At 46.1% G+C, this 23547-nt stretch overlaps 2 long non-coding RNA genes across 2 annotated transcripts, besides 4 other annotated features; one reads left to right on the top strand and one right to left on the bottom strand.

Moving 5' to 3' along the window:
• Positions 1-538: 538 nt before the first annotated feature.
• LOC105371988 (uncharacterized) lies at positions 539-19586 on the bottom strand. The gene is made up of 3 exons (XR_935142.4): positions 18850-19586; positions 4115-4297; positions 539-1674 (listed from the first exon to the last, which is right to left on the bottom strand). It is a non-coding gene; the product is annotated as an uncharacterized LOC105371988 (long non-coding RNA).
• Positions 10874-12073: an enhancer, noted in NCBI's record as "BRD4-independent group 4 enhancer chr18:10413718-10414917 (GRCh37/hg19 assembly coordinates)". NCBI's record gives its function as "activates an origin of replication core promoter dependent on BRD2, P300/CBP, MED14 and CDK7 cofactors, and independent of BRD4, by STARR-seq in HCT116 cells {active_cell/tissue: HCT116}" and the evidence as "EXISTENCE:reporter gene assay evidence [ECO:0000049][PMID:35650434]".
• Positions 11424-20661, top strand: LINC01254 (long intergenic non-protein coding RNA 1254). Its single transcript, NR_110775.1, has 3 exons — positions 11424-13013; positions 19579-19656; positions 20423-20661. It is a non-coding gene; the product is annotated as a long intergenic non-protein coding RNA 1254 (long non-coding RNA).
• Positions 18630-19416: an enhancer, noted in NCBI's record as "OCT4-NANOG-H3K27ac-H3K4me1 hESC enhancer chr18:10406375-10407161 (GRCh37/hg19 assembly coordinates)". NCBI's record gives its function as "activates a minimal SCP1, AML or CMV promoter by ChIP-STARR-seq in naive and primed H9 embryonic stem cells {active_cell/tissue: H9 hESC(naive and primed)}" and the evidence as "EXISTENCE:reporter gene assay evidence [ECO:0000049][PMID:30033119]".
• Positions 19417-20203: an enhancer, noted in NCBI's record as "OCT4-NANOG-H3K27ac-H3K4me1 hESC enhancer chr18:10405588-10406374 (GRCh37/hg19 assembly coordinates)". NCBI's record gives its function as "activates a minimal SCP1, AML or CMV promoter by ChIP-STARR-seq in naive H9 embryonic stem cells {active_cell/tissue: H9 hESC(naive)}" and the evidence as "EXISTENCE:reporter gene assay evidence [ECO:0000049][PMID:30033119]".
• Positions 20985-21638: an enhancer, noted in NCBI's record as "H3K4me1 hESC enhancer chr18:10404153-10404806 (GRCh37/hg19 assembly coordinates)". NCBI's record gives its function as "activates a minimal SCP1, AML or CMV promoter by ChIP-STARR-seq in primed H9 embryonic stem cells {active_cell/tissue: H9 hESC(primed)}" and the evidence as "EXISTENCE:reporter gene assay evidence [ECO:0000049][PMID:30033119]".

Below are 23547 nucleotides of genomic sequence, written 5' to 3'. Positions count from 1 at the left end.
TTGGATGAATGAATGTACAAATGAAAGCAGCAAAGGATAATGATTATATCCATCAGCTCCCCGCTGTAGTCATAGTAAAGGGAAATGTTCAGAGATAGATGACTGCGGACTACAGTGGTCGTCATGAGCAAAGATGCCCCAAATGGTGTCTGCCAGCAGGTTTGAAGCAATGAATATTTGGGGTCTCAATGCACAGGGGCCAGTGGGGGCTGCAGGCATGGGGCCAGCAGGTACCAGGAAGGTTTTCTGTTGCAGTTTCCTCACCTGGAAAATCCAATTGCCTGCATTGCCATGTTCCTAATTGGGGAAGAAATTGTGTCTAATAAGAGATATTCAATCCTTTAGTTTTGAGAAACTAAGGACTTCCCAGGGTTTGAGAGAAGGGGGAGATGGCATCATCAGGAATGCTTGCACTGCAAGGGAGCATGTGGCTGTGGCTCTTATTTATTTATTTATTTATTTTACCACACATGTTTATAAATGTAGATTTTTAGACAGAACAACCATTTCAGCATTTTAAGCCAGTGCTTGCTAGGTCTCTGCTTAGAAAGAATACTTTGCCCTCAAACCCATTTTCAACCCCAATTCCAAAAACAACAGAGATGAGAGAAATTTTGGATTTAATGATTCTTAAGTGCCTGAACTTGACATTGCAACATGCTTGAGAACATCGTAGCTCAGTGTCAGGAATTCTGCAAGAGGTCACAACTAAGGAAGGAAAAAATCAAAAGCAGCAGCATGAAGTGAGCTGAATATGAAAATCCTGCCAATCTATATTTGTCCAAAGACATAAAACTGAAACAAATCAGTAAATTTGCTTGGTAATGAAATGCATGCTGCTTCTAAAGCTTGCTGTCTTCTCTGGGACATTTATGAATTCTGAACTTGTATGTTCATTTGTGGGTTTACCACTCAAAAGCATGTCGCTTCTGGCCCGTGTGGCTCTTCCTGTGGTTCCACATGCATTTCCTAATCTGGCCATCCATGGAGATCAGAGAGAGGGCTTGAGTTTTCCTGCCTCCCTCCCTCCCTCCGGCACCCTCCGCCCCACTGCGTCATCTCTGAGCCTCTGCACTGAGAATGTTTTATCTAAAACTGAGCTTCAATTTGAAGTCTGCCTAAAATCTGACCTTCACATTCACCTCCTTCTGGAAGCAAAAGACGTAAATTCAGCATTTTTATTTCACTGCATATGGTAACTTTCTTATGCACTGCTTTTTAGAAGAGCAAAAATAAAACATTAGGGGCATGACTAGTGTCACCAACTTCTTCTCTCTCTCTCCTCCAGGAAATATTTATTAGAGATTGACTGTATGTTGGGCACTGAGCTGGCACAATAGGCATAATTTGAAGGAGGACACCAAGGAGGATTTAAAACAATATCAGGTGACCATCCTCCTCACCAGGGCAGGTTTTAGGGTTTGCGGGGCTGTGGGCAACTAATTTTTGTAAGGCTCCTGTCTACACAATTTGATTGTAAAATATGTTACAAAATTCATGGGTCCACGTGGGGTATAGTGATTTATCAATGGGGATTTGCGATAGTGGGTGGAGAAGAGGAACCGCTGTATTTTTCTATCATCCAGCCAGTGCACGTGATGTTTGTGGTGTCCAGGCATCATCTCTTCTTTTTCTTTATTGTCAAAGGCAGCATTCCTGGTCAAGGTCATATCTCTAGGAAGAAAAGGTAGCAAAGCTGTCATCACTCACTGCCATGGGTCTCAGGGACCTGTTTGTACTGAAACAATGTAGACCTGGGACCGTTCATGCACCACTGGTCACATCACCTGTGAGGCTGCAGTGTCACGACCAGGCATGGCTTCTGCTGACTCTCAAAGTGGTTTATGTGCTTTGCTGACATGGACCACCAATGCCAGGATTACCCAGATGATTCAGGAAAATGCAAATGAAGATTTATTTTCTGGTCATGTGGTATTTTGAGTTATGTAGCATGAATGTGGAATAACCCATCATCCACGGCGTCATCCCTTGACTTCTTTTTTTTTTTTTGAGATGGAGTCTCCCTCTGTCGCCCAGGCTGGAGTGCAATGGCGCGATCTCGGCTCACTGCAACCTCCACCTCCTGGGTTCAAGTGATTTTCCTGCCTCGGCCTCCTGAGTAGCTGGGATTACAGGTGTGCGCCACCATGCCCAGCTAATTTTTATTTTTAGTAGAGACAGTGTTTCACCATGTTGGTCAGGCTGGTCTCGAACTCCTAACCTCGTGATCCACCCACCTCAGCCTCCCAAAGTGCTTACAGGCATTGGGCCCTGGGATTACAGGCATGAGCCACTGCACCCAGCCATCCCTTAACTTCTTTAGGCTGACATCATGGCATGCCTATAATGAATGGGGTCTCTTTCCCCATGGACAACATCTGCCTTCCACGCCGCACCAGCAGGAGGCCAGGTGAGAGGGCTGCAGCAGAACAAGGACAGGGAGCCCATCCATACAAGATGGGCTGTCCTTGCTAGTGATGGCTTCAGAATGACCCAACAGAGCAGTGTGGCCACATTGATGGGAAGTTTCATCAGGAGAAATGGATTTGACCACCTCCAAAACATAGCAAGACACATGTGCAGAGTCTGTGGAGGGCGGCTGGTCAGTGGGTGCTGTGCACCATGAGGGACACATGTTGGCACCTACAGCACCATCCGGTGCTATGAGCTAGAGGGCGTCACAGCCAGAACACAGAGGGGAGGAGCCCATGTGTGGAATTGCACACAGGCTGAGACTCAAGGACCATGGTCACCTTAACCAGGCTGTCAGCACCACTCTGATGGCCAGATCCCAAACGATCTCCGGTGGCAGTGAGTGGGAGTGACGGCCATGCTGGGCTGCCCCCTGGAGCCAGAGCCCACCCACGACCCACATGACTCCACAGGCACAGGTCCCTCAGCTGCTCTGGGCACCTGCAAGGAGTGGGTCAGTGCATGGGGCCAAAGCACAGGCCCCTTCAAGTGGGGAGCCCTGCAGGGGACCCTTGCTGGGCCAAAGGGCCTTGCTGCCCCTCACTTCCCAATATGTCAGGAGAAAAGATTGGGTGAGGCCCCGGGGTCATTAGAGGGATGTGTTGAGGGAAGCTGGCCAGGGACTGTGAGACGGAAGCCCAGCACCTAGACACTGAGGGCTGCCTGCACTGGGAGCCTCAAGCCACATGGGAAGCCAGACTGCAGGCTCTGGAAGCTGGTGGGACCAAACTCTCAAGATGCTCCCTAACCTGCACATACACTTGACGGCAGAGAAGGGGTGTTGTTAATTCCCCATGTTTCGGTGTAAGGATGAGAACGAAATGTAACTACCTTTATGCTTATCATTCTGAGGAAGACACAATATGTGGATTAATTCAAGGAACAGTTTTTAAAAGCAAAGTAACTTTTAGGTAATAAAATTGACTTGTTTTGAAAGATTCTTTTCCAAAACCATAAGGAAAATAAGCCAACAATAGGAGGTTACAAAGGTTGGTATTCAGGCAACCTAATTCAATTGCTAGATCTTGCCTCTGTGGATGAAGGAAAGGCTGTGAGTGTAGACCAGAAAGCCTGGGCCAAGTCCTGAATCACTCACTGGGTGATCTTGAAAAAAGTCACCTACATTGTTTGATTTCGGTTTCCCCACCTTAAAATAAGAATAATATTAACACATCTCACAATGAGCTGTTTTTAAGATCCAATGAGATAATGTACAAAAAGTGCAGTGTAAAATGCCAAATGCCAGATGGATATTAGTTCATTCTTACTTAACCACAAAGAAGGTTTCCTCCTTGGCTCTCAGATGCCTCAGCGCAGCTGCAGAGTTCTTGGGCATTCTGCCACTGCCTTCTTTCTGGCCACATCCCCCCAACCACTCACGATGGGGTCCCTGAGGATGTCCACGTGCAAATCCCTGACACTCGTGATGAGGTTAGGCTACATGACAGAAGGGAACTAAGGTTGCAGATGGAATTAAAGTTGCTAGTCCACTGACTTTAATTAGGGGGACGATCCAGGATTTTCAGATGGGCCCAAGGTAATGACAAGAGTGGAGGAAGGGGACAGAAAAGTCAGACAGAGAAGGGGGGATGTGACAGCAGGAACAAGGGCAGAGTGAGCCACGTGAAAGGACTCCATTCACCATCTGTCGCTGGCTTTGAAGATGGAGGAAGGAGCCACCAGCCAAGGAATGTGGCAGCCTCTCGAAGTGGGAAAAGAGCAAGGATACCGATTCTCTCCCAGAGCCTCCAGGAAAGGACACAGCCTGTTGACACCTTGATTGTAGCTCAGTGAGACCCATTTTTTGGACTTCTGATCTCCAGACCTGTAAGATAATAAATTTGTATTGTTTTAAATCACGAAATTGGTGGTGGCCATTCTGATAGCCTGGGAATTGGTGGTAATCTGTGAGAGCTGCAATAGACAACAAATAGTGCAATATCTGCTATCAAACTAGCTATAGCAAACAGATGGCTTATTACAGTGGCAATAGGTGAGAAATACAGCACCTCATTTCCCAAGCACCCTGCAGGCTTTCCCAATCCTGTGGGATTGGGACTGAAACTAACTCTGCAAAGATTATGACAGTTAGATAAATCCAACATAGTTGACTCCATCTGTGACAGTAAGATAAATTCGATGTAGTTGACTCCATCATGCTTCTAACCTCCAAGCTATTGTTAGTCACTCCTGGGTGTAGGCCAAGCTAACTTTGGGAGGAATTTAGTTTAGAGTTTAAGCTTCAAGAAATGATGATAATACCCCTTCTCAACACCAAACTGCCTTTGTAAAACTAACGAAAGGCCACAAGCTTAGGATTATGACAGGGACCTAAATTCTGCTAAGAGGTAGGCGTAAACAATAACCAGCTATTGTTGAGGAGGTCACAAGGTTTGTGACTTCTCCAATTACTCCTGTAGATAACATCACTATCGTAGATACTATGATTGGCCTTTTGAGATGTTTTTTGAGACTTTTGCATTTCTGATGATTGGCTGACTCCACCTGGACCAACAACTCATGACTCAACTGTTCCTGTGGCTCCTACCAGAGATTGACTCAGCCCACAAGGACTGTTTTCCACACCCCTATGATTTCATCCCCAACCAATCAACATTCCCCATTCCCTGCCTTGCCAAACTTTCCTTGAAAAACCCTAACCTCCAAGCCTTCAGAGAGACTGGATTTGAGTGAAAACTAGGCCTTCCACATGCCTAGCCTGGCAGCAATTAACTTTCTTCACTGCAATACCGTAGTCTCAGTGAACTGGTTTTGTCTGTGCAGCAGGCAAGAAGAACCCATTAGGCAATTATGCAGCTCTCGACTTCTAACCCTTTTTAGACCATGAGAATCCTACTTACCCTTTAATCCCTGGTCGGATGTCTCCTCCTTCACAAAGCCCTCCCCAGCTTCCCTTTGGCTAGGTACAATGACACCTTCCTATAACTTTCTGCAGTGCTTGGCTCATTTCAGTATATTTCTGTTTCAGATTACAGTTTAATATTTGCAAGTGTGTCTTCTCTGACAGACCGTAAGCTGTATAAGTTAAGGGATGGCCTTTTAGTTATTTCTGTACCCCTCACAGTGCCTAATTCAGAGCTTTGAACTGAGAAACAAAACTGAAATCCTAAGCCCTCCAACAAACTGAATAGACCCCCACTTGGCCAAGAGGACCCCAGAGAACCCCTAAAAACTGAGTTCTGGCCATGATAGGATGGGAACTCAGACATGTTTCACTATCCCCCCTCGTTTGCTGGCCCCATTAGCTTTTCTTCACTGGGGGCTGAACAGAAACCAGCCCTTTGGAAAGACTACTCCACACCTGATATCAACCAACTGCATGACAGTGCCCATCCCTTTTGCAGTTTCAAAACAACTGACCAGCATTCCTTCCTGATAAGACTACCACTGACCACAGTGTGGTTTTGGCCAGTCTACAGAGGATCCACAGAGAGGGTTTTTTTTTTTCTTTTCCTTTGCTTCACCTTTTGACATCAGAGGGCTAAAGTCTCCACCCTCATGTCATGCTAATGCCACTGTTTTTGGACCTGGGTCCCCATGGAAAGGCATGAAGCTCAGTTGTGCGTGTGCATGTTTCTCCTCCCATAAATATCCACAACTCCTCCTAGAGATTGTTAAATATGTATACTTGGCCACACCATTCCGTATACATTCTTGCACCCTTTGCCCCTCCCTCTGAGTATCTGTTTCTGGCTTCTGGCTAGAGGCTACGATTCCCAGCCTATCAGACTGGCCACCAGCACACTGCCCTTTATGAGAAATGAAGTTCTCCTTTCCAGATGTATGAGCCTAATCATTCTTCAGTTGACAAAATCTTGCAACCTCTGTGTGCCGAAGTAACATAAAGTAAATTAAAAGGATATTTTTCACAACAAGCTACTATCTTAATCAAGGTCCTCCAGAGAAACAGAGCCAATGGTGTCTATAAAATGAGGAATTGGCTCCTATGACTATGGAGGCTGAGAAGTCCCATAATCTGTTGTATATAAGCAGGAGGCCGAGGAAACCCAGTGGTAATTCAACAGGAGCCAAAGGCTGGAGACCCAGGAGAGCTGATGGTGTAAATAACAGTTGAGGGCTGGAAAGATGAGACATTTCAGCTCCAGAAGTGAGGCAAGAAGGAAAAGGGACAGGTTCTTCCTTCCTCTGCCTTCAGGCTGTCAAGGGATTGAATGAGGCCCACACACATTGGGGAGGGCCATCTGCTTCAGATGCTAATCCCCTGGAAACACCCTTACAGAAGTCACAGTTAATCTGGGTACCCCACACTGCAGTCCAGGTGACACAAAACACAGTTACCCAGAGGGGCCTCAGCAAGGCAGACAGGCTTGTGACCCAGGAAGAGGTTAGGAGGCTTCTCTTCTCCAGCCCTGATCCTGCCTTCTTTGCCATCAAGGACCTTTCTGGGGCACCCAGGGTCTCTTTTTGCCACATCATTTACTGTCTTTCAGCCTTCTTTTCCCAACCTCCCAGACTGCTTCCTCACTATCATTTTTTTCCAGAATATATTGTTCATGGCCATTATTATTATCTTAGAGTGAAATTAAATCATATGTTACCTCTCTCATTGTGTTTACATTTCAGACTTTATGTGTACTTCTGGAATGAAAAGCTCTTCACTCGTTAAAAGCATTTAGGACTTTCATTGCACATTACAAAAAAGCACTGGGTTGGGACTTAGAAAACCTACAAAAGGTGGACACTATGTAGAACACTTTTAGGATTTCTTCCATCCTGAGATTCTGCAATTTTTTTTTTTTTTTTTTGAGACAGAGTCTCGCTCTGTCTTCCAGGCTGGAATGCAGTGGCCCGATCTTGGCTCACTGCAAGCTCTGCCTCCCAGGTTCACGCCATTCTCCTGCCTCAGCCTCCCGAGTAGCTGGGACTACAGGCACCCGCCACCACGCCCAGTTAATTTTTTATGTTTTTAGTAGAGACGGGGTTTCACCGTGTTAGCCAGGATGGTCTCGATTTCCCGACCTCGTGATCCGCCTGCCTCGGCCTCCCAAAGTGCTAGGATTACAGGCGTGAGCCACCACACCTGGCCAAGATTCTGCAAATTTTAAAACCTGTGGAAAAAGAGTTTGAAAGAATAAGTCAGGGTAAATTTGCCAGGGATAATAGAGCTGCAGTTTTTCCATAAACTCTGTTTTCCCTGTAACTGTGTAAAAAAAAAGGTAATCTTACAGGGACATGTGATATGGTCCTGTAGTCAGTGCCAGGCACAGGAGCAACCTCTGTCAAGTAGTGTAGAGGGAAAATAGCAATGGGATATGGGGCATAGCTGGTCTGGGGCTAAGCACATTTTGTTCAGGCCAGGCCTAACCTAGAAAAATGCTCTTTGAGATGCAAGAGGTGGCACAGCCAACAACCAAGAAACAGCTCCTGACCTCTTGGTCTGTGTGGTATGCTGTGCTGGGGGGGGACTTGGGTTACTTCTTGTGGACACACTATTAGCTGGAACCTATTCAGTGGAGCTGCTTACACAGAAATTTTCCAGCACACAGCTGCACATAACTAGAGCCCTGTTTTCTCAACCAAGACTCACAGTAGGAATTGCAATTTACATCATAACTCAGTACTCAAAAGGCTGGCCTTGGATGTATTCTCATGGCTCAAGGATTTTCTCCAAGTTCTTCTCCTTGCCATTCTTCTGTCCAGTTGCCTCAAACCTAAATTTCCCCCTTGTGCCTGTCTTCTTTAGTCTTCTTTAGTCTCTTTAGTCCCACCTCTTCTTTGGGAGGACTGCATAGTTTTTAACTTTGGTTTCTACATAAGATGTTTTCTCTTGCTGGGTTCCCTTGTCTCCAAGCATCATAGCCCAGGGGCAACTCCTTACCCAGCTACTACACCCAGTCTTGGCATGCAGACTCCACCCACCCCAGCTCAGGTGCAGCGCCCCAGGTCCTTGCTGTGTGGGAGGAAGAATCAGACAGGGAGTGACATGGCTCATGGCTGAAGATCTGGGAATCCAGTACACGCTCTGAGTCAGCAGGGAGGTAGCAAGCAGGCTTTACCACCCAGAGCACGATGGCTCATTTTTTGGGGCCTTTGGGATGGAGGGCACAGTAGCCAAGGATAAAGGTATAAAGGCACCTTGGAATGACCAGGGGAACTGACCACCTCCATTGCCTGAACCAAACTTATTCTACTTGTCGGTTTGGGACTTTCCTGTTGCCTGTCTGTCATGGTTCACTTTTCCTCTGAGAGTGTTTCAGTTCCAAGCTGCTTGTAATTTTTAATTTACTGTTCATATACTTGTGTGCGAAGTTGACACGGATGTAGATGTAGCTCGTATATAGCTGAAAACACACTGAATAAATCAGTGGCAACATCTGCTCCCCTGGGGGCCTAGGTGCTCCTTCTCAACCCACCCACCACGAGGATACATGGGCAGCCTGGGATATCTTGTTTCTTCCCTTCAACGGATGTTCATAAAAGGAAAAAATATCACACATATTCGTCCAAATTCCTTCTCTGAATATGTAAAAGAAGCTTGTCCAACCCGCAGACCATGGGCTACATGAGGCCCAGGAGGGCTTTGAATTTAGCCCAACACAAATTCGTAAACTTTCTTAAAACATTAAAACATGAGATTCTTTTGGAATTTTTTTTTTTAGCTCATCAGCTATCATTAGAGTTAGTGTATTTTATGTGTGGCCCAAGACAATTCATCTTCCAATGTGGCCCAGGGAAGCCAAAAGATTGGATGCCCCTGGTGTAAGACAGCCCCCTTTGAATTCTAGGCATCCCCTGTATTAAGAACTAATGAGTATATTAATTCCAGTGTGTATCTAGCCATCTAACTTTGACCTTGGATTTCTCTTTGGGGGTAACCTTTTCATGAAATGCCTTTCCTCGGTGTTTAAGACCTTAAATCTCCCCACAATGAGCAGGTGGTTGTCTTTGAGAACTATGTGAGAAAACACAGCATTTTGCCATGTAATTAGGCCTCTGGGGCACAAGGCTCTTTACAGTTATAACACACTGCCCGGCTGAGGCTGTGTCTGTCAGGAGTGCCGCTCCTCTGCGTGGTCTTCGGGTCAGTGTGTAGACTGATCGCGTTTTGGTGAGGAAAGGACATCTTATATGCTGTATCGGCAATTACACCCTGTCTATGAATTGCTCATTGCTGAACATGATTTGAATTTCAAAGGATGCAAAAGAGGACACTGGAGCTCATGAAATTCTCCCTTTTCATCTCCCCCCACCGCCACCAAGGTAATAAAAAATTCAGTGTCAAGCTAAGCAGCTGAAGCAATTGTTGAGACGGGAACTGCAAATCACAAGTCAGGCTCTGTCTCGATTCTGATTATATTTCTCATGATAGTTTAAGATCTGAAACCTACTTTTTCCTTAGTTATCAATATACAGAAGCAAAGTAACTTTTGGGTCCCCAAATCTGCACAGTAACATAGGGAATGGGATATATTTCTGTTGGGGAAGCATTCTTTATTTTTAAATGTCAAAGGAATTGGGTATTCAGCAGGACACCTAAGGAATAGAATGCTGGGTGTTAAGATCCGAAGGCAAAAACACTGTCCTTATGATTGTGCCTTCAGAACATATTTTCCACTTCTCGGTTAAATAGACATTTACGTCATACGCCTGCATTTGAAAGCTAAGTTCCTGTGTGGGGCCAGGAGAGCACCAACATGCAGATTTCACATTCCTACAAGTTTGCAAATAAATAATTGTGCCTGTGTTGAGAGTGTCAGGTGCAGTGAAGTCTGGGGAGAAGGGGCCATAGTGTTCTATATATTCATTCATTCTTCAAAAAAGAGTGATTGTGTTCATGCCCCCAGTACAGTCCTATACACGAAGGATACAACAGAGGCCTGCTTTCCTGGGAGAGACAAGAACAGATGAATACAGAAAAGAGCGTGCAGTGTCAGTGCAAGGCGAGGACTGAGAACCGGGCGATGCGGCTGCACAGCTGGGTCAGTGTGGATGATCGGGAAGGGGCTGTCTGATGGGCTGGCCCCTATGCTGAGATTTTTCTTTCTTTTTATTTTCATTTAAGATGGAGTCTTGCTCTGTCACCCAGGCTAGAGTGCAGTGGCATGATCTTGGCTCACTGCAACCTCCGCCTCCCAGGTTCAAATGATTCTCCTGCCTCAGCTTCCCAAGTAACTGGGATTACAGACGCCTGCCACCATGCCCAGCTAATTTCTACATTTTCAGTAGAGATGGGATTTCACCGTGTTAGCCAGGCTGGTCTCGGACTCCTGACCTCAAGAGATCCACCTGCCTCATCCTCCCAAAGTGCTGGGATTACAGGTGTGAGCCACTGTGCCCGGCCCTGAGATTTGAAAAGCAAAGAGAGCAGCTACACGATGATCAGGGAAGATGAGTTGGATGCCAAAAATCCCTTGCCCTATTCGTGTTGGTTAAATCAGGGAACAAGACTTGCAGGGCAAGGAGCAGCGAGTTAAGGCTCTATGATGAGGGAATGCTGGCAACTTGAAGGAAAAGCAAGGTCACCTGTGAGCTTCAAAGTGGCATGGAGACGAGGCAGGGCCACAGGTGGAGGGCTGAGCCTCGGGGTGAGGAGTTTGAATTCTATGAGGGATGTGAGGAAGCCTTTACAGGGCAAGCAAGGGAAGGGCATGATACACTAAATGTTAAGTGAATGCCTCCGGCTGCCAGGTGGAGGAAGGATTACAGAGAAGCTGGGGAGAACCAGGGAGAGCTGCTAGACTCCACGTGGTGGGCGTGGTGGGCGAGTACCAGCAGAAGCCGCCTGGACAGCAACCGGAAGTGCGGTGGCTCTGGTGGGCGTGGTGGGCGAGTACCAGCAGAAGCCGCCTGGACAGCAACCGGAAGTGCGGTGGCTCTGGTGGGCGTGGTGGCTGAGTACCAGCAGAAGCCGCGTGGACAGCAACCGGAAGTGCCGTGGCTCTGGACTCTGGGCTGTCGTAGCCAAACACGCCTTCTTGGCCGAGTGGTGGCATTCTGCCTGCCCCCTGTGGGCATCATTGAGATTCTGCTCCCCAGCTTCCGCAGTGCTCCGTTTTGTGATGGAAAGTCAGCATCCCTTGCCTTAGGAGAAACCCAGGTATCTGGTGATGGAAGAACTTTTGAGGGAAGCTTGAGACTGGCCAGTCCACACTCTGCTTAACCAAGGGAAGGGCACCACTTCTACCACCAGGAGATACCTGCTGTGGGACACAGTGCTGCTCCAGCCATGCAGAAGCTCACACAGGCCTGCAGCAGTTATTCATCCGTGCACAGCTGCCACTGGCCAGCAGAGCCTGTGACGGGGCCTTCACAGGTAATTCCCAAGATCAAAACAGCCTCTTGTACTTAAAATAATTGCTTTGCCACCATTTCCAAGATGCTGCAGAGTGCTTCTGAATTCTGTTCATTTCAAAGAACCCACTTCCTCTATTTGAAAAACGGGTATTTTAATGTCTGCCAGGCCACAATTCCATGAGGCATGATGGTGTGCAGAATGTTCTGGAGATTTCCATAAGAAAGATCTCTAAGGGCCAGAACTGACTAAAGTCATGTAGGCCACCTCTAAAAGAGGCAAGGCTCAAAGATAAATACTAGCATCAAAAGAGAGGTCCTTTGGTGTGATATGCCCCATGTCATTCAGCTTTGTTGTGGCCAGTCATCGTTGGTGGCAGCTGACTGGTGGCAGAATCACACCCACTGTGTGATTCTCTGCAGAAGGCTGGTGATTTGAGGATGGACAGGAAGTTCTGAACTCAGGAATACCATGCATTTTCACAAGCGTTTTCACTTTGCCTTAAGATTTGTAGAAGAGTTAAGTTGGGATCCCATCATCAGCAAAACCTAACACCACCATCCTGAGATAAGCTAAGAAAAGCTAAGAAAAAGATAAGCTGAGAAAAGCTAAGGAAAGATTTGTCAACCTTTCTTCTAGATCAGAACAGCAAACGTGATGCAGGATTTCCTGAGGTTGGGACCGGACCGAAACGTTTTCCATCTTCTATTTTTGTTTACTCAGCTTCAACTGCCACCTTTTATGCTATCCTGGGGGCAAGGGGGCACCCATGTGAATGAGAGATACTGGATTTGGCCAAGATCATTAGGCAAGGGTGCCGTTCCCACACAGTAATGCCTTGCAGGCACAAGGATGGAAAATTATGCCAGGAATGCGATACCGCCAAGCCTGAACACAGAGAGGACACGACGTTGGCACAGGCCTGTTGGGTCTTGACTTCAGCCTGCAGAGGAGCTGGAGGAGGCTGGCAGACTCTGCTCACAAATGGGAAGGCCCAGCTGCCAATGGCTTTTCCTCTCTGCCCATGTAACACTTTTTGTGGGGAATGTGTGGACACAGCTTGAGGCTTTGTATCCACCCTGTCAGTTGGTGAGATAGAGAAGAGATGGGCTGATGGTTATTGAGGCACTACTGCTCAGATGGGGCATTGTTGGAGCCCATAGATGGGGCATTGTTGGAGTTGTAATGAGAGAAGTTGCTAGTGGCCCCTGGAGCAAGACACCTGGAGCTTCTATTCAGCTTGCTCTTCTTCAACATCCATGCTTCTGTAAGATGAGATTTGCACGGTGCTTTTATTTATATATTTTATTATTATTATTTTGAGATAAGGTCTTGCTCTGTCACCCAAGCTAGAGTGCAGTGGCATAACCATCGCTCACTGCAGCATTGACCTCCCTGGCCCAAGCAATCCTCCCAACTCAGCCCCCTGAGTAGCTGGGACTACAGGCACACACCATCATGCCCAGCTAATTTTTAAATTTTTGTAGAGTTGGGATCTCACTCTGCTGCCCAGGCTGGCCTTAAACTCCTGGACTGAAGTGATCCTCTTGCCTCAGCCTCCCAAAGTGCTAGGATTACAGTCATGAGCCAGCATGCCCACCCACATCATCCTTTTAGAGTGACAAATTCGGGCTGGCTCGGTGGCTCATGCCTGTAATCCCAGCATTTTGGGAGGCCGAGGCAGGTGGATCACCTGAGGTCAGGAGTTCAAGACCAGCCTGGCCAACATGGTGAAACCCTGTTTCTGATAAAAATACAAAAATTAGCTGGATGTGGTGGTGGGCATCTGTAATCCCAGCTACTTGGGAGGCTGAGGCAGGAGAATCACTTGAACCCAGGAGGCAAAAGTTGCAGTGAGCCAAGATCGTGCCACTGTACTCCAACCTGGGCAACAGAGGGAGACTCTGTCTCAAAAGAATAAAAAATAAAAAAAAGTTAAGAAGGACAAATTCAAATAGGTCTAGGGGAGAGGCAGAAAAGCTGCTTTATGTTAGGACCTGGCTTGTATGAGAGGGAACAATAACTGCAAATGTGGAAAACTGGTAGGGAGAAAGGGGATGAGACTGATTTTGTATCACTCTAAATGGTAACTACGCTGACAAATGGAAATATCGAAGGAAAGTTTCCACTCAATAGAAATGAAGTGTTTTCCAATAATTAGAATGGTGGAAAAAAAAAAGTGGCTCCAGGTGAGAACACCCAGAGTTCAAATTCCAGGTTTGTGACTGACCACCTCTGTGACCACAGGCACATTAGACAATGACTCTGAGCATGTTTTCTCATCTGCAAAACACATATGTTTTTGACGATTTCTTATTGATCACCAACTACATGCCATGTTCTAGAGACCATGTTCCACCCAAGAGTTGGAAAAAAAGGGGTAAATAAGTCCTGCAGTTTGCCTTCTAGGTGGGAAGAAAGAATAAAGAATGAAGTGAAATACCCACTGCACAGTGATCAGTGTGATGAGAACAGAACAGCAGGGACAGACATAGGTGTGGGTAGGGTGTGGCTGTGTGTGAGCTGGTAGGAAAAATCTCTCCCCCTAAGGTGATAAGACTGAATGAAAATCACACATCTAACACCATCCACATATAGTAAACAACAAATAATAGCTCCTTTCCCTGCCCATTTTAGCAATGGAAAGGCTATAGAGAGAGGCACTGATCCCCTGGCCCTTCGGTGTCACATGGCTCTGCCATGGCTGGGTGGACAGGTTATGCCTCTCATCTGTAGTATTACCTTGGGAAGTAATAAGCCAACATATGCAGTGTGCTTAGAGCAGCACCTTGCACATAGCAGGTGCTGTGTGATTGACAGATCTTCCTGTGATTGCTTTCCCTTTGATTCGCAGGGCTCCCACATGCAACACCCATTGTGGAGCACCAAAATGATCTCATTGCAGGCAGTGTGAGAATGCAGAACCAGCCAAAAGGAAGCACTCTCCAGTGCATTATTCTCATGCCGCAAAGACCTCCTGGGCAGTAGGAGGGGCCTCTCCCTGGCAGAGGGCTGGATTTGTTGACCATATGACAGTGGGCCTTTCAGGCCATCTGAAAGCAGACAGCAACAGGAGGTGTGGTCTTGCTGGAAATGCTGTAAGGACGATCCATTGAGCACATCACAGGCAGTGGATTTATTGTTCAGATGGGTAGTGACTAAAGTGTGAACAAGTGGGAGAAGGTTTCCATGAGCTGGCAGGGCTCATTCACTAGGAGTGTTGGTTTCTCTTTTGCACGGATTAAAACAGTCACCTGGATCATTCTTAATCTCGATCAGCTACTTGTTTAACATAAGTTTCAGCTGAGAACTAAGACAAGCTGACCAGGGCAGGCACTCCTGTTCTCTGTTCTTGGCTCCACTATCTGCACCGTGAGGCCTGAGGACTGCATATGACCTTCAAGCTCTCTCTCAGCTCAGACACGGTACAGTTCTCGGATGTACCTGGGATCTGAGCAAGGCGAGTGGCTCTAGGATAAGAGGATACTGGAATGATCCATGGGGGGAGAGGTGCCTTTCACTCTCCAGATGGTCCTTAGAGCAGCAGTCTCAATGTCAGCACAGTGACACGCGGGTCAAAACTGCCATGCTCACACTGTGGCCTCCCCGTTTGTTTACAGGGACATCAGACCAGCTGGACTCAGTTGGCTTTCACCACTGGGATGGCTTCTGCAACCCTCGACACCAGCCCAGGAGCTGCAGCACAGCTCATAGTGGGGCTGGCCAGGGACTCTCCTCAACATCTGAGAACATTGTTCTCCAAAGAGTATGGGTTTCTGGAAAACACACTTATCTGTTTCTTCTGCTGTCCTCCCATAAAGGCAACTTCCCACCCACAGTTGAATTCCTTCAGCTCTTCTGAAACTTCTTTAGTCTCTTGGGGCCCAGGAGGTCAGAGGGGTGTAAAAGATGTCTTGCCTTCTGCCTAAGCTCCCCTATCCACCTCTGAGTTCAGTGGAGAGCAAGCAAAAGTGTAAGGTCATGTGATATCAACGTCCTCCCCACATACTCTTCATTCCCTGGGAGAATAACTACTGGAGAAAAAAAAAAATGGTGCCTCTTTCAAGAACCGAGTCATTGTGACGACCTCTGGGCCACGTGGTCAGGAGCTGTCGATGGTGTCCGGCCAACAGTTAGCAAGAAAGCAGAGACCCCAGACCCCTTATAACCACAAACAGCTGAATTCTACCATCCACTTATTGAACTTGAGAGACTACCATAAGCTACAAATGAGATCCGTGGCATGACTAATACCTGACTGCACCTTCGGGGGACCCTGAGCAGAGGATCCAGCTAAGCCATCCAGACTGCTGGTTGGCAGAAATGTGAGCTCATACATGGGTTTTGTTTTATGCCACTAACTTTATGGTACTTTGTTACTATAATGCACTTTGTTTGTATAGTGATAAATAACTATACAAAGGGGAAAAAATCTCAGCCTCATAAACAGATAGTTACTTTGAGTTCCCTAAAGGGGTACTATTTTTTGGGTGAAAGTGACAGTTCCAGTGAGTAAAGATGCTCCTTGGCAAGATGCATATTAAACTATTTTCTTTTTTTAATTTTTAAATTATTTTGTAGAGATGGGGGTTCTCACTATGTGGCCCAGGCTGGTCTCAAACTGCTGACCTGAAGTGATCTTCTTGCCTCAGCCTTCCAAAGCACTGGGATTATATGCAGGACTCAACATGCTCAGCAATTTAATTACCTTCTTTTTTGGAAAAAAATTTACCTGCATGAGGTATAAATACCTTGGATGACTTGAGTTCTCCAACAATAGAGAAGAAATTTTGCAAATGACACATCAATTCCAATTTAATATTCCCATGGAATATGAGAAATGTAAAATAGAAAACAAGAAAAACCAGTTAAACTAATCAGTAATAGCAGAACCATTTTTAAACTCATGTCCACAAGGTCAAAGTTTCCATGCAAACATTTATTTAAGATGAACATATGTACATTTAATAGGAACTAAGGGCAAATAATCACTGAACTCTCCTTTCATCAGTTCCGTTTTACTTCTTACTTTTATCATTGCCGAGCCATGTATTTTTCTATGCTACATCCTATATTTTAATTGTGCTTCTTTAAGTGATGCTATTTCATGTTCATAAGCCATTCCATGTCTCATTGCAATCCACTGAAGTGTGACTAAAGAACACGGATTCTGCATCATAAAATTTGGAGTCAAGTATGGGATCTGCTTCTTAACAGTTGCTAGCTTTTTAAGCTGGTAACTTAACAGCTCTGAGCTCCCTTTTCCTGAGCAGTAAATACCCAATTTATAGCTGTGAATGTCAAATCCAGTGTGGATGTAATGTATCTCAAGCCTCGTGAAGTGGTAAGAGGTCTGCAAACTCTCCTGTCTCTCAGAAGCTTGCAAATACATCAAATAGGCCCAGAATAATTTTAGCCCAACAACTGCAGCTAGGCTGTATCAGGGCAGCGTTGCATGTGTTTCCATAGCTGCCACTACTGCTGAGAGATTCTGGGGGCTCGCCTTAGAACAAAGATGCTCCTAGCCCCTCGGAGAGTCCTCCTGCAGGGTGGAAGCATGCGCTCTTCCATTCAGGTACAGTCTTAGCCTCCCGCTCGCTGGTGGGCAGCCTCTTTCATCCAGCATGTTGGATAAATTCAGCCAGCCTCTCCAGATCCTCGTGGCTGAGATGACAAGTCTCATTATGGCCTGGCACTCACCACTGCCTATCTTCATCAGATTTGAACCCTTCTTTATCCCTGGACCTGTCTGCCCAGCCTTGGGCACAGCTCAGCCACTCATCCCAAGGAGCTGACATAAGACAATGAACAGACCCCCGAGTCTGAGGCAGCACTGCCCTGATGATCCCCATTGCTCCTGACCCTGACATTCCATACTCCTTCCGTCCACTTAAAATCCCTCCACTCATCAGCCATCACCTCAGCTGTTAGTGGTGTTTCCCCCCATTGACTTAGATGTCTTCTTCAATCTGGGGCAATAAACTTTCTGTTCTACCGCTGGCTCCTAGGGTATACCCTTGTCCTCCCGCTCCAGCTAGGGGAGAATTAGAAAAGATACAGTTTGTGTACCTTAATATTGCTTATTTATTACATAAACATTTCTAACAAGCACATGGTATAAGATTGGCAATTTTTTAGGACCTTCACCAAGGTTAACTCATTTAATCTTCACAGGACATTAGAAGATATGGACTATTATTATTCCTGTTTCTCAGATGAGAAAAACCTAGGTACAAAGAAGCTGAGTTCCTTCCCATGGTCACACAGCAAAGAAGTGAAGGCCACATTCAAAGGCAGGTATCCTGGCTCCCATGCCCTTAACCGCCACACCACACTACCTGGCACTGCCTGGATTCTCCTTCTAGGTGGGTGAGTCCTTCCTACTTTGGGCATTGGAGACTTAGACATTATCTGAGAGGTCTGGTGTGGGTAGGCACAGCTTCCTTCACAAATAGACATCTCCCCTGATTCAGTTCATTATTTTACTCAGACATACCATCATCTAACCACGTCCTGATTCTTAAACTTTCATTCTCTCACCACTCTGAAAACTCTAAAACATTACCTTCAGGCAAATAATTTGGGGGACATTTAAGTTGATCTCCGTTTTCCTCTATCTTTGCACAAGACATTTAATTTTTTTTGTAGATTAGCTTTTTGTTGAAGGTATTCGGGATGATGAGCTGTAAATCTGAGCAGTGAGCTTATGGCACCAGAAATATTGAACCAATTCACATTGCCACATAATATTGAATGGCTTACTCATAATCCCAGTGAAACTGGCTCTTATATTTTTTATTTTTTATTAGGTTTGTAATGATACTTAGATATGCTTAATCACATTTCCTTTACTGTTAGTAATATTGTTAGTATGCACTTCTATAGGTGACAATTTTACTTTTTGAATTCATGTCTTTCCAAGCTTATTTAAATTGCATGATGGAGTTTTAAATATCCATATCAATCTGAAGGGCACAATGCACTTTATCTTTAAATAGGCCATGCTATCCTGTTCCACAAAACAGAGTTTTGGACTTTAGGCTACAAGAAAGCTGAAATATGAGAGGTAATATTGGTATTATTTGTATTTTGTGAGCACTTACCATGTGCTTGTTAATCAGTTGACTTACAAGGTGTTTTCTAACCTTAGTTCTGTGCATAACAGTTGTTCCTCACACCCTTTGAAAAGGACACATCTCATCCCCTATGATGGAAGAGGCAGGAGGGAGGACGGAGCGCAGGTGGGAATGTTGAAATGGGAATATTCCAGAGCTGCTGGAGTTCAGAGGTGCTTGAGGAACTCCTCCTTTCCTCTGCATGTTTAAACTTGGAATCCAGTTGACTTCACAAACAATGGACCCCAGGCTCATGAACATCCTGGCTGAAAGTGCTGTGAGTCAAAAGAAAGCCCCCAGCTGGGGTGTTTCTGAGGAAAGCCCTTGATGTCAGGACTGTGTGGGGCGCCTCCCCCAACTTGGAGGAGGTCTCCTGCTGCTGGAGGAGGTGAAATTCTGATGATGGGGGCTTTGGGGCTGCTGCTGAGCTGGAGATTCAGCTGGCGCGCTCACGGGGGAGGGACGGAGCAGCAGGCGTGCCTCTCAAACCGGGCTCAGGCTGACGGGCACTTCTCGCTTGAATAAGGTCGAGGTAATTATGGGGGTCACTCTTGCTGTGACAGACATTTACACAGGTGCCAGACATTGGCCAGGACTTCTCGGCTCCTTTGTTGGGATCTCAGCCAGCATTTCCTGGCCACATCAACAGATGGTTCTCTGAAGCTGCCTGGGGAGGAAAGACCTCTTGATAATGAGCTCTCTCTCCCTCTCGTGTAGGGAACTTGCATTCCTCACAGTGAAGGATGGAAGCCCTTTGGCCTTGCCCTCCCGCCCAGCTGATGGGATGAGAGGCAGGTAAATGGGTGATATGGGAAGAGGGGGCTATACTCCCAGCACAGAAATAGTCTCGTTGCCCAATGTAGGACTACACATTCTAAGCGCCAATTTCTGAGGCTCAGGTTTCCAAAAACCAGCTTTGGATTCACAAAGAGAATAACTATCTTGTCAAAGGTTGCTTCCCATCCCCAGTTGGTGGCAGATTCGAAGGCAGGCCTTCTCTGTTCACAATGGGGTCTCAGCCCTTAGATCACATGATTTATAAGGCAGGAGGGAGTCCCCTGGATGATGGAACCCCCTCCCTTGTATAAATCATTTGATTTAAGGGCTGAAACCCCTTAAAAATCATTTGATCTAAGTCATACTGCTTTGGGAGTTCCATTCTCAGATAGGTTGTTCTGGTTGTTTATATTTTCCCTTTACAGATAGCAATACTCCAAAAGTCTGGCTTTTCCATGTAAACCTTCCAGTGCCATTGAAGATATACCACTGAGACTTGGCTTTACTTCTTACATACAATGGAGCCAAATTTCTTATCTTCCACTTATTTAAAAAGTATTGCAAATGCCATTGAATTTAAGGAAACACGCAGTGGCTGCAGCATTCAGCTCCGTGTCCTAACCCCAGGAGGGCTCACCTTTCCTTCTAGATCCTACTCTTCATCATTAATTACTTCCTCTTCATTTTGATTTCAAACATTCTTCACAGTCAGTTGATAATTGATAATGAATTTGAAGAGCATAATGAATCCACATAAAGGATGAGGTTATTTAATGTTTTCCAGATGCAGGCAGCTGTCAGGAGAGCAAAGGGAAGGGAGATACTGGGTCCGGAAACCCTGCTGCTGCTGCGACAAGTTCTCCGGGTCCAGGCTGTGATTTCCACAATCTGCATCCAAACCACAGAGTGAAGCCGAAATTGTGTGAATGATCGGGAGTGTTTGCAGAGTTCAACCACAGTGTTATCACGTTTTATCCAAATCTCCTAGTCCAAAAAAGAATACCACGCCCTGTTTTTATCTCAGTGCGGAGTGTTTCATTTTGATCAAAATTGCAGTTGCGTAATTGACAGATGAGAGTGAGTGCTTGCAGATGTGAAGACTGGGGTGAAATAACACAGCAACAACACCCGCAAGACTGGGTTAATATCAATACAAATTCAGTCCGCTTTTGTTTCCCAGTTCATTTTTCCTTAAGAGATGATAAATTGTCTTGAATTCCAAATTCATTTCTGAACCAGAGATGTAGAAAGACCGCAAATCCCATGTATAAAGTTTTAGTTCAATTGCAGATTCTAATTTTGCAATATTGTGGAGTTTAACTTTGTTTCCAGGCTTAAAAAGGGCCATTTGAAAATTGATCGTACCTACAAATATAAATCTATTTTAAGATACTTTTGAAGGATGCCAAGTTTTTAAACTGTTTTTTCTAGTTACCACATTTGTGAGCAACAGGAGAAGTTAGGAGATTCCGGGAACCCTGTACAATTTAACAACTAGAGTTAAAACTCGGCACCTTCAATTTTCCTAGTTTGCCACTAGAGTTGGCGATGAGACAAAGTAACAAAAGCCTGCAGCCTTCACAATAGGTGAATCCCCAGTACAATTTTCCTCTCCTCTGCTTGTTTTCGGCATCACCATCTCTCCGCCCTGGGTGTTTAATCCTCTTAGGGTCCTATTCTCTCGGGTTGCCCTGAATCTCTGAGAATAGAGGAAGGAATTGGCTCCGATTGAACCATTTGGCAGGAAGAGCAGACTGGGCTTGTGATCCGCTCAGGACTTCTGTGCTCAGCACAATGGCATGGAGAGAGAATGGTGGGCTTGCAGGCACCAAGCTGGTGGGAGAGAGCTGTAGGCTGGGCCCTCCCTGTCCCTGCAGGGACACATGCCCCGCCCCTGTGGCCCATGTGCCAGGCTGGGCCTAGGGCTGGCGAGTTCAGAGCCTTACCATCAAAGCTGCTTTGAACGTTAGAATAAGACGATATTCTTAAAAGCCTTATCAGAAACTTTCATGGGAGTCAGTGGGTTTTAGGCAATAAGGATCTCTCTGCGTATTCCTTTTATTTACTTTACTTCTGATAAGCCAAAGGCTCTTGAGTCCCTCCAGTTTTCAAAAGGCAGGCATTCGGAGCATTTCCAGGACATGCAGGCTTATTATCATGGTGGACAGCAGCTCCCGCCTTCAGACCGTCAGCGAAGGAAACCCCCTCAGTAAATCAGCCACAGACTCAGTGCCGGCGCGGCGCAGCTATTCACACCCTGTCACGTGTCACGTGTTTCAGCTGCTCTTTCTCTGCCCACCATGTAATCTCTGAAAAAAATAGAAGCCTTTTTGTGTGCCTGGGGTGGGGGTGGGGACCAGCCTTGCAAATCCCCCTGCATGGATGCAAAGCTGGACCACTGTTGCCAGGGAGTTGTTTCAGCCTCTGAGGAAATTAAGGAGCTCATGGAAGGAGCTTATTCCCCATTTATAGTGAGTTCAAGAGGGACAATGGATCTGTGTGGCCGAGGATTACCCAGCCAGCCACAAAAGCATCAGGGCCTTTTAATCTGAAAATCAAAATTGTGCATCTAGTGACCCCACCTCAGAGGGAGACAGAATGCCAGAGTGAAGGAATTTTTTTTCTACTCTCATGATGGCAAAACTTTCTCAAGATGCAAATATCACTGTAAAGCTTCAGCCAGGCCTTTTCACAATCTATGCTACAGAATAACCTTCCCTCGGGATCCACCAAGGAATGGTGAGGGCTGCCCTCAGTGGTGCCTCAGGCCCATGGTGCAGAGGTGACAGAGGGTTGAACTGGGCTTGGAGGCAGGAAGGATGCCCTGCAGAGGGCTCCAGGTGGGGCCAGAGAGTCCTTCTCTCCAGGAACACTGGTCCCTTTGAAGACGGTGACAGGGATTAATTTTTCCCACCAGTTCACTTCTGGCCAGTTTTGTTTCTTTCAACTCAAGGGGATTGTACTCTGAGGAAGCCAACGTATCAAAGTACAAGTAGAAACAATAATAATAAATTATAGTGTTTCTCAGACGTATTCTAACACCAAGTGTCCATTCTTGCTAACTACTTTTTTGGCTAGCAGCCAGCTGTCCCTAGGTTCCTTTGTATGGGCAAGAGTGCAGTTTCCTATGTCAGGGTGGCGTTAAATCTTACCAATGGTACTTGCACAACAGAGACATTCAGAAAGTCTTGAACTTATTTGGAGACACATTTGCTTTAATGCGTATGTCCTTTAGTGAGCAGGACACGAGGATGCCCCCTCTACGTGCTTTGCTAAATGTGCTTTGCTAACCTAGAAGTCTCCGAGGCCATCTCCCTGGGGTTGGAGAACTAGCACCAACAAAGCAGAAACACACTTGTGGGCTTGATCATGTGCGTTAAGTTTATTTTTACAGGATGTAAAGTGTCTGCTGCCTGCCTTAAGAATAAATGTTTGCTAAAAAAAAGATAATAAAAATTTAAAAACACAAGTTTACCTATATAACAAACCTGCACATGTACCTCTGAACTTAAAAGAAAAGTAAAAGAATAGGTGTCTGCCAAAAAGACCAAGGCTGTGATCTAAGGGCCACCACGGAGGACCCAGAGCAACATGGCAGATGAGTCTTTGTGTGCAAACTCTACTGTAACATCCTTGGGGGAAGAGATTCTTCTTATAAAACCATGGGTGGGCTCTGAGCCCCCCTGCCCTAGTTTCACTGCAAGAACAACCCCAGGAACTATTATATAATTTGTGCACTCAAGTCATCAGCCTATGCTTCTGCTGTCATCTGGAGGACCCACTGAAAGCTGACCATTACCAGGAAGAGCACAAAGATAGGACTACCACCCTCCATTTGAACAGTGCCTGCCTCTGGCACCCCACATGGCTCTGACTGCCACATTTTGCGGGACCGCAGAGAGCACCTAG

This window comes from Homo sapiens, chromosome 18 (genome assembly GCF_000001405.40).
Source record: "Homo sapiens chromosome 18, GRCh38.p14 Primary Assembly".
NCBI classification, from domain to species: domain Eukaryota; kingdom Metazoa; phylum Chordata; class Mammalia; order Primates; family Hominidae; genus Homo; species Homo sapiens.
This window is presented reverse-complemented; position numbering and strand designations above follow the sequence as displayed.